Raw genomic sequence first — 14,014 nt, 5'->3', positions numbered from 1 at the left:
TTTATTCATTTTTTTTTTCTGAGACAGGGTCCACTCCCAGACTTTCATGGGTAGCAGCTGAAGAAACGAGAAAAATAACCACACAGTAAGAACTTCATAAGAACTAAATGTATTAAGGAAACCTCCTTGGGTATCATGCCCTTCCTGCTTTTTTTGGCCACTACCTCTACACTTTAGTATGCGTACAAATCACCCGCAGATCTCGTTAAATTAGATTCTAATTCAGTAGGTCTGAGGTAGGGCCCACGAGTTTTAACAAACTCCCAGGCGATCCTATCTACCCACTTGGTACAAGTTCAACCACAAATGACAGTGCTTTAGATACCAATAGGACATTTGTTTGCAAGTCAAGCTTCTAGCCAGAATAGGGGCTAGCTGTCTAGCTACTGGGTGGTTGTCTGTCTCTAGTGGTTGCAGTCCTCCAGATGTTTCATGACCTGCCCAAAATCTCAATGCCATTTAGAGCTAGGACTAAAACCTGGTTAGCTCTTTGAACTCCCAACAGTGCTTCTTCCACTGGGTCAGGAGCACAGCAGTTTTGTTTTTAATGAGAAGTCAACTGAGTACACAGACAATACACAAGGACCAAATGAAGGCTTAGCAGGTTTATATTATTAAAATTGAGAGACTTTCTACATTTTGTATTTCTGAAATGCTTTACTTAGATGAAACCAGCATTTGTTCTCCACACCCAGCACTAATTAACTATCCATTCACCAGATCTGTTCTTAAACATGTTTATGGCATGTTATTTAATTCAGAAGTTAGTAAAAAACAAGTATGGTTCCCCCCTATAAACATGAAGATGAATTTTAAGAATGAGACTCCTTCACCCCATTTGAGGTGGGGGCCCTGGCCCTGTAGTAAAAGATTGAGAAATGAAAAGCTCATATTTTAAATGAAATAAAAAGTATATGGCAACATGTTCCACGATTCTCCCCTTTCACCAACTAGAGCTCATCTTACAGGATAAGGTAACTTTATTTTCATTTAAAAATGAGGCACACCAAATAATCTATTTCCAGGTTTCAAAATACCTACAAAAGCAGCAAATTTGAGAACCTCTGAACAGCAATGAACGGGTGGCCCAAGGACAACTGAACTCTAATTAGTCACAAATTAGTAAATTATCTAACTGAATTAACATGCGCTCCAAAATTTAAACCTGAAATTGAAAATGATGAACCAATGGCCAAGTATTGCGTCAGAAAAATGATGGCTTTTGCCAGGTGCAGTGGCTCACGCCTGTAATCCCAACACTTTGGGATGGTGAGTTCAAGACCAACCTGGCCAACATGGTGAAACCCCATCTCTACAAAAAAACACTAGCTGGGCGTGGTGGTGGATGGCTGTAATCCTAATTACTCGGGACGCCGAGGTGGGAGGATTGCTTGAACCCAGGAGGCGGAGGTTGCAGAGATCATGCCACTGCACACTCCAGCCTGGGTGACAAAGAGACTCTGTCTCAAAAAAAACCACCACCAAAAACAAACAAACAAAAATGGCGGCTTTTGAGCATCGACTTCAGTTAGATATAGAAAATCACTACAGGGGCCGGGCGCGATGGCTCATACCTGTAATCCCAGCACTTTGGGAGGCCAAGGCGGGCGGATCACGAGGTCAGAAGATCTAGACCTTCCTGGCTGACACGGTGAAACCCCGTCTCTACTAAATAAAAAAAATCAGCCGGGCGTGGTGGCAGACGCCTGTAGTCCCAGCTACTCGGGAGGATGAGGCAGGAGAACGGCGTGAACCCAGAGGCAGAGCTTGCAGTGAGATCGCGCCACTGCACTCCAGCCCAGGCAACAGAGCAAGACTCGTCTCAAAAAAAAAAAAAAAAAAAAAAGACAATCACCACAGGGAAAGTATTTTCATTTTTGCACCAAAGGGAAGCAAGCTAGCAGAAGTAATATTTCTTATACCCAAACACAAAAATGAAACCCCTTTTGAGCACTACGTGGCTGGTGCTAGTCTGAGCATTTTGTTAAGTATTAAATCATTTAATCCTCTGAGAGATACTACTATTACTGCCTCCTGATACAGATAAGGAAACTGAGGCAGATTAACAACTCACCCGAGGTAACAGTTAAAGGAAAGGGCTGGAAACGGAAAGACTGCCCTCTTATCTGCACATACTGCCTCCCAAGAACCTTATACTCTCATTGTAAAAGAAACCTGAGCCTGAACAGTTAAGTCTAAATTTAATCTCAACCATCACACCAAAGCCTGTCATTCCTTCATGACGCATCAATGCTGATAAAATTTCTAGTACAGAACAGAATCACTGAATAGCAGGGGGCCTCCTGGAACACAGGAGCACTGCACCCTGCTTAACCAAGGCTCTAAATTCAAACCCCAACATCAACCAAACCCTCCCCTCCAAATGGGGCTACTGCACCACAGCACATCAACCAAGGTGTGGCAAGCACAGGCAATGAATGCTATGAAGCTTGGACTTGGATCTGCCAGGAAATACTGGCATCCAATCAGAGGATGACGGGGTTGTTACCAGCTACTCCCATCGAAGCTTTAAGTGGCTTGAGGTCCAAGGACTTGAATATGGCCAGGATCCTTTCACAGAACACACAACAGAATTGCACATTTCACTGAAAACTTTTTATTGCTCTTTTGGATAGAAACGGGAATTTATTTGCCAGGAAGGATGATCCCATCATACTGAAAGAGAAGAGATTTAATTTTTTCAGAACAGGAGGCAACAGCAGAGATTGCAGCAATGGCTAACTTTTGAGAATTCACATCTGATTGATACATGAACTTGGGCTCTGAATCCCATCCTTTTCTGGACTAAATAGGAAGCTGGCTGGTTTTTACACTGTGCTGAACTGCACTATCATCTGAGAAAGGGGGCTCCTGTTAAAAGCCATATTCCTCCCCTTCCATCTACCCCCATTCATGGTGACAGGGAGAAGGCCTAGTTCTGGATGTTCTTTTAAACCATCATCCCTGGAAGCCCCTGATTTGTCAAGATGCCCAATATTCTAACTTTAAAGAAGATACCCAGCAAATAGTACTATATTTTGCATCCCCAAATCCCAACTCCATTCACCAACATCACATTCCACCACTTCACTTGAGATAAATCAGCTTTACCTTCTGCTGGAACCAGCGCATGGCCTCCTCTTTGCTGATTCTGTGTTTGGCCCCAATGCAGCCTGTCCTGCGCTTCTTGTCTGCGATGCTGAAACCTGGCCTACCCAGCACCTGTCCCAGGAATAACCAACAGTCACCTAGCCAGCTCAGAGTCAAGAGCAGATGGACAAGACTCACACATTACAGACAGATCTTCAAAGAGTCACTTGGCAGCCCAATGGATTCTGGAGCAAGACCCATGATCTGTGTCTGACAAAGCTGCCACCAGCATCCCACGCAACACACAGCCATACTGTAAGTTTGCTTTGGAGGCTGGAACTTTCAGCACCCCCCTAACCCAGCCTATTTTCCAGTGGTGCTGAGGATCCTCCATTACTGCTCCCAAATCTCCATTTTTCTTTTTAAAAGTAACATTTAAAAATCTATTGCCACACCAGCAGTGTAGAAAACATACAACTCTGAGAAGCACAAATATATATATTTTCTTCCTTCTGCTTCAGCTCAAAAATGCTTCCCAAAGGTGTGCTGTTCCTCCAACATCCTGTGAGTATCCAAGTCTTATTACTTGTCTGTCTAATGAGGGTGCCACCATCTTTCAGGTTCCACACTAGTCAGGACTTCTGATTTAGGCTATTCAGTTTTATTGTTGGACCAAAACACGGCAGTAACACAAAAGGTCATTTCTATGTTAAAACCCCCTTCCTGAGCAAACCACTGCATCACCCAAAGCTGTTTCTATAGGAAGAACCAGGGGGAGAACAGCCTCAGTGCAGCCAACCAACCCATAGGCCAAATGTGGCACCAATACTGCCTCTCTCCAAAGTTTCAAATCACTGGCTGGAGGGAACAGTTTCCTTCATCCACCTTTAAGCCATGTGGGTGCTTTACAGATCCTCGACTGCAAGTTCCCCAACAGCAGGGATCTTGTCCACCTTGTTCAGAGCTGCACCCCTACATTTGCCACAAATGAGGCACATTTCCCCAAGGGGGAGGAGAACACAAAGGCAGACAATATTCAAAGCTGCAACTCAACATGTGAACACCAACATACCACATATGAAATAAAGATTCCCCTCTCCTCACAGACCAGGAGCGGGAAAAGATTAAATATTCATACCACATAGAAGTCCAGGCCGTAGATACCAATGCTTGGGTCATATTTGATACCCAGATCGATGTGTTCCTGGATCCCAAAACCAAAGTTTCCAGTATCTGAGAAGTTGTTTTTTCTTAACTCATACTCCCGCACCTGTGGAGAAAAATGCAGCAATAACATTCCTTGTCATCTTCAACTCCCTCCCACCCCCAAGTAACTATTAATAGCTCAGCCTGCAACATGCACCCCAGAGCAAACAGAAGTCAATGAAACTTGGCTGAGAACACAACCTGACTTCCTCACTATACCTCGACTATAGATTCACACCCCAACTACCCAGTATGACCTCTCCCAGCTTCCAAAGAGCAGAGAAAAACCCAGAGAAAGCAGAGGCATGAAATGACTCCCAAGCATCCTTTTTCTTTTTTTTTTTTGAGACAAGAGTCTCACTCTGTGGCCTAAGCTGGAGTGCAGTGGCACAATATCAGCTCACTGCAACCTCTACCTCCCAGGTTCTAGCAATTGTCGTGCCTCAGCTTCCCGAGTAGCTGGGACTACAGGAGCCCGCCACCAAGCCCGGCTAATTTTTATCTTTTTTTAGTAGAGATGGTGTTTCACCATGTTGGCCAGGATGGTCTCGAACTCCTGGCCACAAATGATCCAACCGCCTTGGCCTCCCAAAGTGTTGGGATTACAGGCGTTGAGCCACCGTGCCCAGCCTCAAGCATCTTTTAAACCACCAAGAACAGTTTAACCCTGCTGATTGTAGAAAAAGCCTTTTAGAAGCTTAAGTAAATAAATATCAAGACACCAAAGAACAGAACATTAAATGTAACTTATCTACATGTGTTACTAAAGGAGTGCTGATCAATATCACTCCATTAGGGGATTAGGCTCACCTTTAGACCCTTCTCCAAGATTTCTTCTGCCTTGGCCCCTCGAACTGTGCAGTGGACAGCAATCTTTTCATTTCTCCGGATGCCAAAGGATCTGACAGTGTATCTAGCTGCAGGAAGTGGGTAACAAGGAGTCAGATGCCATCATACCCCCACTACACTCACCTCTTTCCCAGAACACCATCTCCATGACTTAAAGAGACATTAAGCATTCATCCACACTCTTTTAAGTTGTGGTGTTCTAATTAGTGTCTCCCACATCTATTAATAAGATTTCATCCACAGCACAGATTTTCCCATTTCCAGACATCCAGCCATCCTTCAGCAGTTAAGAACAGTCATAACGCCGAAGTTCCAGGAAGGGCAAGGTCACAACCAGAATAGGCCGAAGAAGCCACTAGTAAGATTATCATGTTCCAAAGAAAACAAAGCATTATTGACAACATCTACTATTTGCTGAAACCTTATTGTACTGTTATCCATATTTTACAGGTGAGGTTTTGAGAGGTTTATTAACTTGCCAAACATCACAGCTGGTAACAAAAAGCAGGAGTGGAATCCAAAGACTTGCCATATTTCACTGTCCTAAAGCAACTACACATGTACAACTCATTTTATCTTCCACAATTATAAAGTATTACCCTCTTTATGCAAAGAAAAAAGCAGAGGTCCAGAGAGCCCAGAGTCAGACCAGCAAATGGTGAAGCCATCACTCAAACCCAGGCAATCTGTATACAACTTTTGAGATAGGGTCAACCAGGCTGGAGTGCAGTGGCACTAATATAGGCCACTGAAGCCTCATGCTCCCGTACAGCCCTGTTCTTAATGCAGCCTATATAACCCTAACTGCTAATCAGATCTAATGATCTTTACTTCGTTCCTGACATTTCCACTCTATCTCATATCCTAGTTACTTAGGAAAATCTTTACTTGGGCTAGTCTTAGCTTAAGATCTGCTCAAATAAAATCTAGTGTTCCAATCCCACACGCCATCTTGAATAAAAAAAAAAAAAAAAGACACCTCTTGGCCGGCTCATGAATTTAATGCTTTAAGTGATGCCGACTGTCACTTTCTAAACAGACTCGACAGCAGGTAAATCAAGAAACAACCAAGCGACCCAAGCAGGCAAACCCTGTATGTCCTTGTGACTACTCACCTTTGGAAAACACAGGGGTCTGCCCTGTGAGCTGCTCCAACACCTTGGCTGCTCGCGTCAGTCTGTCTCCACTCTCCCCAACACAGATGTTGAGACAGAGTTTGCGGATGCGAAGTTCCCGCATGGGGTTCTCCTTTTCACCTTGATCCTGCTGCAACAGGGAAGAGCAGCAGTCAATACACTCACAGCTGAGGGCCCTGAGTTTTACTACTTTCTATCTGCACAGCATTTTTATTTCTGCTCATCCCAAATCGTAACGAAGACCCTGAATGTTTAAAAGGTATAATGTTTAGGGGACATCAAGGGAAGAAGACAGCTCGGAACCTATCCTTCCTCCACGAACGGAACGGGTGAAGAGAAAACTCAGGACAGTTATTGAGTGTTAAAAGATACGGACACTGAGATCGAACCCTAAGAGGCTCAGGGTAACAAAGAGCGCCCCCATTGTAAGGCCAACTAAGGGGAGTGAGCGAAGAAACAGAACTTAATTGCTCAGTTAACAGGAAACACGTGGTTATGCGACGTCCAGCATCCTATTCGGAAGCTGTCTAAAGGCTGGCACCTTCCCTAAGCGGAGCAACCGACTAAGGTTTCCTAGCACCGAGCAAGTCTCAAGTCCCCGGGACCAGGAAAAGGCCCGGACCCCCCTGCCTCAGAACCCTCCATTCACCCCATCTGCCCCCGCTGCAGCCTCCTGACCGTGCTTCTGAGCACTCCGGGCAAGTGCCCGGAGCCGCTCCTAAAACGATGGCAGGGAAAGTGACAGAATTCAACCCTGCGTCCTTGGCTCGAACGGCTCTGCTAGTTTTGGGCCAGCAGGCATTGCGGGCTCCATATTCCTCGGGCTGCGGGCGAAGTAGCCCCCGCAGGCTCGGCCTGCCATGGATGGCGACGGATAAAGGAAAGCAAATCCAGGTCCCAGCTACTCACCGCCATGATGGAGAGCAGGAAGAGAAAGCGGAGCTTCCGGCCGAGGGCCTTATGGGCCAGGAGGCGGGCTCTTTTCCCAGGCTAACCACAGAGATGAAGACGAGGAAGAGAGGCGCATTTGGCAAAGCCCTGCAGCGTCGGCTTCTCCCTTGTGGGTAGTGCTAGCCACTGCAGGCGACGCTGGCTGAAGACCGGGATCTGGGTTTTCCAAAAATAGTTTTTGAAAGCTCCCGAATCAGCACGTCCTTGAGTTTCCGGACCTTGAGGACGTTCTCTCCTCCCAGTGTCACGAGCTGGTGGTCCTTGTGTGATGAGAACGCCAAAACTACATTAAATCAATCATGCAAATTATGACGCAAATTTATTCTGTAACAACGTAAACAAATATAATTTATTTATTTATTTATTTTTTGAGACGGAGCCTCGCTGTGTCACCCAGGTTGAAGTGCAGTGGCGCGATATCGGCTCACTGCAACCTCCGCCTCCCGGGTTCAAGCGATTCTCCTGCCTCAGCCTCCCAAGTAGCTGGGATTACAGGCACGCACCACCATACCGGTCTAATTTGTTTGTATTTTTAGTAGAGATGGGGTTTCACCATGTTGGTCGGGCTGGTATGGAACTCCTGACCTCAAATGATCCACCCGCCTTGGCCTCCCAAAGTGCTGGGATTACAGGCGTGAGCCACCACTCCGGGCACAAATAGAATTTATACAAACGGAAAGGAGTGGTGGTTTAAGAGTCCCGAGCTTGAAGACAGGCAGATGTGGTCCTGTCTCGACCAGCTAGTAGCTATGTGACCTTGGGCAAGTTACTACAGGGTGCGTATTCCTAACCTGAAAAGCCTGGGACCAGACGGTTTTTAGATTTGGGATTTTTCCGGATTATGGAATATTCGCATAAACATAATGAGATATCTTGGGGATGGAACCCAAGTCTGAATATGAAATTAATTTATGTTCCATATACACCTTATACACATAGTCTGAAGGTAATTTTATACAATATTTTAAGTAAGTTTGTGCATGAAACAAAGTTTGTGTACATTGAACCATCAGAAAGCAAAGGTGTCACTATCTCAGCCACCCTTGTGGACAATCTCTGGTTGGTTGGCCTAACCATTTTTCCAGACTGTAAATGTATATGCTATTGATAAGCAATACTTTCTTACGCTTATTCACATATAAGTACTTAACAGCGGCCGGGCGCGGTGGCTCACGCCTGTAATCCCAGCACTTTGGGAGACCGAGACGGGCGGATCGCGAGGTCAGGAAATCGAGACCATCCTGGCTAACACGGTGAAACTCCGTCTCTACTAAAAATACAAAAAAAAAAAAAAAAAAAAATTAGCCGGGCGTGGTGGCGGGCGCCTGTAGTCCCAGCTACTCTGGAGGCTGAGGCAGGAGAATGGCGTGAACCTGGGAGGCGGAGCTTTCAGTGAGCCGAGGTCGCGCCACTGCACTCCAGCCTGGGTGACAGAGCGAGACTCCGTCTCAAAAATAAAAAATAAGTTCTTAACAGCAAAATATATGCTATGTCATTAATACAGTGAAAAAGTAATGTGTTCAGGGCAACTAAGCAGCAGAGGAGCATCACCAGAAAACCTGGATCAGCTGTGAAACAACAGCGACCCACCCCCCCTCCCCCCACCACCACACCCGACCCCGGCCCCGCCAACCAGGCCAGGTGCTGTGGCTCACACTTGTAATCCCAGCGCTTTGGGAGGCTAAGGCGGGTGGATCACTTAAGGTCAGGAGTTCGAGACCAGCCTGGCCAACGGGGTGAAACCCCGTCTCTACTAAAAATACAAAAATTAACCGGGCCTGGTGGTGCATGCCTGTAATCCGAGCTACTCGGAAGGCTGAGGCAGGAGAATCGCTTGAACCGAGGAGAAGAAGCTTGCAGTGAGCCAAGATCACACCACTGCACTCCAGCCTGGGTGATAGAGCAAGACCCTGTCTCAAAACAAACAAACGAACAAACAAAAAACAGCGACCACAAGTGGCAGGCTTTCAGTCTCCACCTATGATGCAGTGTTTTGATTAAAAGATTACTGTACAATGTATTTTTTTTTTTAATTTTTATTGATCATTCTTGGATGTTTCTCGCAGAGGGGGATTTGGCAGGGTCATAGGACAATAGTGGAGGGAAGGTCGGCAGATAAACAAGTGAACAAAGGTCTCTGGTTTTCCTAGGCAGAGGACCCTGCGGCCTTCCGCAGTGTTTGTGTCCCTGGGTACTTGAGATTAGGGAGTGGTGATGATTCTTAACGAGCATGCTGCCTTCAAGCATCTGTTTAGCAAAGCACGTCTTGCACCGCCCTTAATCCATTTAACCCTGAGTGGACACAGCACATGTTTCAGAGAGCACAGGGTTGGGGGTAAGGTCACCGATCAACAGGATCCCAAGGCAGAAGAATTTATCTTAGTACAGAACAAAATGAAAAGTCTCCCATGTCTACGTCTTTCTACGCAGACACGGCAACCATCCGATTTCTCAATCTTCTCCCCACCTTTCCCCCCTTTCTATTCCACAAAACCGCCATTGTCATCCCGGCCCGTTCTCAATGAGCTGTTGGGTACACCTCCCAGACGGGGTGGTGGCCGGGCAGAGGGGCTCCTCACTTCCCAGTAGGGGCGGCCGGGCAGAGGCGCCCCTCACCTCCCGGACGGGGGGCTGACCCCCCCACCTCCCTCCCGGACGGGGCGGCTGGCTGGGCGGGGGGCTGACCCCCCCACCTCCCTCCCGGACGGGGCGGCTGCCGGGCGGAGACGCTCCTCACTTCCCAGACGGGGTGGCTGCCGGGCAGAGGGGCTCCTCACTTCTCAGACGGGGCGGCTGCCGGGCGGAGGGGCTCCTCACTTCGCAGACGGGGCGGATGCTGGGCGGAGGGTCTCCTCACTTCTCAGACGGGGCGGCTGGGCAGAGACGCTCCTCACCTCCCAGACGGGGTCGCGGCCGGGCAGAGGCGCTCCTCACATCCCAGACGGGGCGGCGGGGCAGAGGCGCTCCCCACATCTCAGACGATGGGCGGCCGGGCAGAGACGCTCCTCACCTCCCAGGTGGGATGGCGGCCGGGAAGAGGCGCTCCTCACTTCCCAGATGGGATGGCGGCCGGGCAGAGACGCTCCTCACTCTCCAGACTGGGCAGCCAGGCAGAGGGGCTCCCCACGTCCCAGACGATGGGCGGCCAGGCAGAGACACTCCCCACCTCCCAGACGGGGTGGCGGCCGGGCAGAGGCTGCAATCTCGGCACTCTGGGAGGCCAAGGCAGGCGGCTGGGAGATGGAGGCTGTAGCGAGCCGAGATCACGCCACTGCACTCCAGCCTGGGCACCACCGAGCACCGAGTGAACCAGACTCCGTCTGCAATCCCGGCACCCCGGGAGGCCGAGGCCGGCGGATCACTCGCGGCCAGGAGCTGGAGACCAGCCCGGCCAACACAGCGAAACCCCGTCTCCACCAAAAAAGCATGAAAACCAGTCAGGCGTGGCGGCGCGCGCCCGCAACCGCAGGCACTCGGCAGGCCGAGGCAGGAGAATCAGGCAGGGAGGCTGCAGTGAGCCGAGATGGCAGCAGTACAGTCCAGCCTCGGCTCGGCATCAGAGGGAGACCGTGGAAAGAGAGGGAGAGGGAGACCGAGAGGGAGAGGGGAGAGGGGAGAAGGGAGAGGAGAGAGGGGACTACACTGTATTTTTTTTAAGGTGAGAAGAAACATCAGAAGCAGTTGAGGGAGCAGGAAGTGGGTCCCCTAGGGACAAGGAGGCATTCTCCTGGATGGCTTTTTAAAATGTTTCCTCCAGAGTCATCTGCCTTTTTTTTTTTTTTTCTATTTTTTTTTGTTTGTTTTTTGTTTTTTGTTTTGTTTTGTGGCAGGGTCTTGCTCTGTTGCCCAGGCTGGAGTGCAGTGGTGTGATCTTGGCTCACTGCAGCCATGACTTCCCGGGCTCACATGATCCTCCCACCTCAGCCTCCCACGTAGCTGGGACCACAGGTGCACACTACCATGCCCAGCTAATTTTTTAAATTTTTTGTAGAGATGGGGTCTTGCCATGTTGCCCAGGCTGGTCTCCAACTCCTGGACTCAAGCGATCCTCCCACCTTTGCCTTCCAAAGTGCTGGGATTACAGGCATGAACTGCCACACCAGGCTTCATCTGCTTCATTACCAATGGTTTTTGTCTTAGACATGATTTTGTTATGAATGCATTCTGCTCTTGCCCCTCAATAAGCTCATCATGCATTTTCTCTTTTTTTTTTCTTTTCTTTTTTTTTTTTTTGAGACAGAATCTCACTCTGTTGCCCAGGCTGGAGTGCAGTGGCTCCATCTCGGCTCACTGCAACCTCCACCTCCTGGGTTCAAGCAATTCTCCTGCCTCCGCCTCCGGAGTAGCTGGGATTACAGGCGTCCACCACCATGCCCGGCTAATTTTTGTGTTTTTTTTTAGTAGAGACAGGGTTTCACCATGTTGGCCAGGCTGGTCTCAAACTCCTGACCTCAAGTGATCCACCCGCCTCAGTCTCCCAAAGTGCTGGGATTACAGGCATGAGCCACTGCACCTGGCCTACAAATCTTTAAAAATGTAACATCATGTCTCGTCTTAAATTTCTGCAACCAGCCAGGTGCAGTGGCTCATACCTGTAATCCCAACAGTTTGGGAGGCCAAAGTGGGAGGGTTTCTTGAGCCTAGGAGTTTACGACCAGCCTGGGCAACATGGCAAGACCCTGTCTCTGCAAAAAATTTATTAGCCTGGCATGATGGTGTATGTGTGTGTGTTCCCAGCTACTTGGGAGGCTGAGGTGGGAGGACTGCTTGAGCCTAGGAGGCTGAGTCTGCAGTGAGCCATATTTATGTCACTGCACTCCAGCCTGGGTAATAGAGTGAGACCTGTCCCCACACCCCAAAAAATCTGCAATCAGCCTGTTGAATATTCAGTTTCCTTAAATTTTCTGTTCATCGTGATAGATCTTGCTTGTTTCACCTTCAGTATACCATTAAGCGGCACATGTTGGATGGATCCATCAGTGCAATGCTGATGGATCTACTCTTCTTTTTTGTTGAGACAGAGTCTTGCTCTGTCATCCAGGCTGGAGTGCAGTGGCATGATCTCAAGTCACTGCAACCTCCATCTCCGGGGTTCAAGAAATTCTCCTGCCTCAGCCTCCTGTGTAGCTGGGATTACAGGCACCTGCCACCACGCCCAGCTAATTTTTGTAGTTTTAGTAGAGATGGGGTTTCACCATGTTGGCCAGCTGGTCTTGAACACCTGACCTCAAGTGATCCACCCACCTCAGCCTCCCAAAGTTCTGGGACTACAGGTGTGAGCCATCGTGCCCAGCCAGATGGATCTACTCTTTCAATACACAATGAAGATCTTCATTTTTTTTGCTTTATGCATTGTTTTTCTCTTTTTCATTAACTTCTGTTCATCATTTTCAGCATATAGAACTTCATCAGTTTATCCTTCTGTTTTTTTCTTTCTTTTTTTTTTTTTTTGAGATGGATTCTTGCTCTTGTTGTCCAGGCTGGAGTGCAGAGGCGCGATCTCGGCTCACTGCAACCTCTGCCTCCCAGGTTTCAATTCTCTTGCCTCAGCAATTCCCTTGCCTCAGCCTCCTGAGTAGCTGGGATTACAGGCGCCTGCCACCGCACACGGCTAATTTTTTTGTACTCTTTTTTTTTTTCATTTTTTTCATTTTTTGAGTTGGAGTCTCCCTCTGTTGCCCAGGCTGGAGTACAGTGGCACAATCTTGGCTCACTGCAACCTCCGCCTCCTGAGTTCACGCGATTCTCCTGCCTCAGCCTCCCAAGTAGCTGGGACTACAGGCATGCACCACCACACCCGGCAAGTTTTTTGTACTTTTAGTAGAGACGGGGTTTCGCCATGTTGGCCAGGCTGGTCTCGAACTCCTGACCTCAGGTGATCCGCCCACCTTGGCCTCCCAAAGTGCTGGGATTACAGGCATGAGCCACCACGCCTGGCCATCCTTCTGTTTCTTTAGGTCATCTACGGTGTTTATGCCAACACCATACTCTTCTGTAGGATATTTCACACCTACACTTCTGTCCCATTTCTCCAGCAACTTGACTTTCTGTGCTATAAACATAACTGCTTCCTCTTTTTCTTTTTTTTTTTTTTTTTTTTGAGATGGAGTCTCACTCTGTTGCCCAGGCTGGAGTGCAGTGGTGCCATATAGGCTCACTGCAACCTCTGCCTCCCGGGTTCAAGCGATTCTCCTGCCTCAGCCTCCCGAGTAGCTGATTACAGGCGCCTGCCACTACACCCAGCTAATTTTTGTATTTTTGGTAGAGACAGGGGTTTCACCATGTTGGCCAGGCTGGTCTTGAACTCCTGACCTCAAGTGATCCACCCGCCTCGGCCTCCCAAAGTGTTGAGATTGCAGACGTGAGCCACCTTGCCTGGCCTGCTTCCTCTTTTCCTTATCACTATTACTCGTAGGGGTATCTGCAGGCCTTTCTTTACACTTTCAACAATATCTTTACACCACGGAACAGAAAATAATAATTAAAAAAACACAGTGAGTGATGTGCATAGATCTCTTCCCTATTTGAGGCATGTGGGGAACCTGCAGTTGGCATGTCTGGCCTGCACATGTGCCATCATGTTACCCCTTTTTTTTTGTTTTTTGTTTTTTGTTTTTTGTTTTGAGATGGAATCTTGCTCTGTCACCCAGGCTGGAGTGCAGTGGTGCGATCTCGGCTCACTGCCACCTCCGCCTCCCAGGTTCAAGTGATCCTCCTGCCTCACCCTCCAAAGTAGCTAGGATTACAGGCGCGCACCACCACACCCAGCTAATTTTGTATTT

General features: G+C 48.3%; 1 protein-coding gene across 2 annotated transcripts, besides 2 other annotated features; it reads right to left on the bottom strand.

Annotated features, from left to right (window-relative positions):
- Positions 849 to 1,470: an enhancer, noted in NCBI's record as "H3K27ac-H3K4me1 hESC enhancer chr1:24024040-24024661 (GRCh37/hg19 assembly coordinates)". NCBI's record gives its function as "activates a minimal SCP1, AML or CMV promoter by ChIP-STARR-seq in primed H9 embryonic stem cells {active_cell/tissue: H9 hESC(primed)}" and the evidence as "EXISTENCE:reporter gene assay evidence [ECO:0000049][PMID:30033119]".
- Positions 2,185 to 7,241, bottom strand: RPL11 (ribosomal protein L11). 2 transcript variants are annotated; one of them, NM_000975.5, is made up of 6 exons: positions 7,191 to 7,214; positions 6,261 to 6,411; positions 5,107 to 5,213; positions 4,229 to 4,360; positions 3,112 to 3,222; positions 2,185 to 2,676 (listed from the first exon to the last, which is right to left on the bottom strand). In NM_000975.5, the coding sequence occupies exons 1-6, from the start codon at positions 7,194 to 7,196 to the stop codon at positions 2,647 to 2,649; spliced, it is 537 nt and encodes a 178-aa protein (NP_000966.2). In that variant the 5' UTR covers positions 7,197 to 7,214; the 3' UTR covers positions 2,185 to 2,646. The 2 variants fall into 2 exon arrangements, with proteins under 2 accessions (NP_000966.2, NP_001186731.1); NM_001199802.1 differs by having other exon boundaries at positions 2,595 to 2,676; positions 6,261 to 6,408; positions 7,191 to 7,241.
- Positions 6,933 to 7,252: an enhancer, noted in NCBI's record as "active region_374". NCBI's record gives its function as "activates an Ori minimal core promoter by ATAC-STARR-seq in GM12878 lymphoblastoid cells {active_cell/tissue: GM12878}" and the evidence as "EXISTENCE:reporter gene assay evidence [ECO:0000049][PMID:35858748]".

The sequence above is a fragment of the Homo sapiens genome, chromosome 1, assembly GCF_000001405.40.
Source record: "Homo sapiens chromosome 1, GRCh38.p14 Primary Assembly".
Taxonomy (NCBI): domain Eukaryota; kingdom Metazoa; phylum Chordata; class Mammalia; order Primates; family Hominidae; genus Homo; species Homo sapiens.
Note: the sequence above shows the minus strand (reverse complement) of the source record. Positions and strands in the feature narration are given on the sequence as shown.

Coding starts and splice junctions, on each gene's coding strand:
- RPL11 (NM_000975.5), bottom strand. Junction 5,214..6,260: donor GACCCCTGTGTTTTCCAAAG/GTGAGTAGTCAC, acceptor CACTTCCTGCAG/CTAGATACACTGTCAGATCC. Junction 2,677..3,111: donor TGCGCTGGTTCCAGCAGAAG/GTAAAGCTGATT, acceptor CTTCTCTTTCAG/TATGATGGGATCATCCTTCC.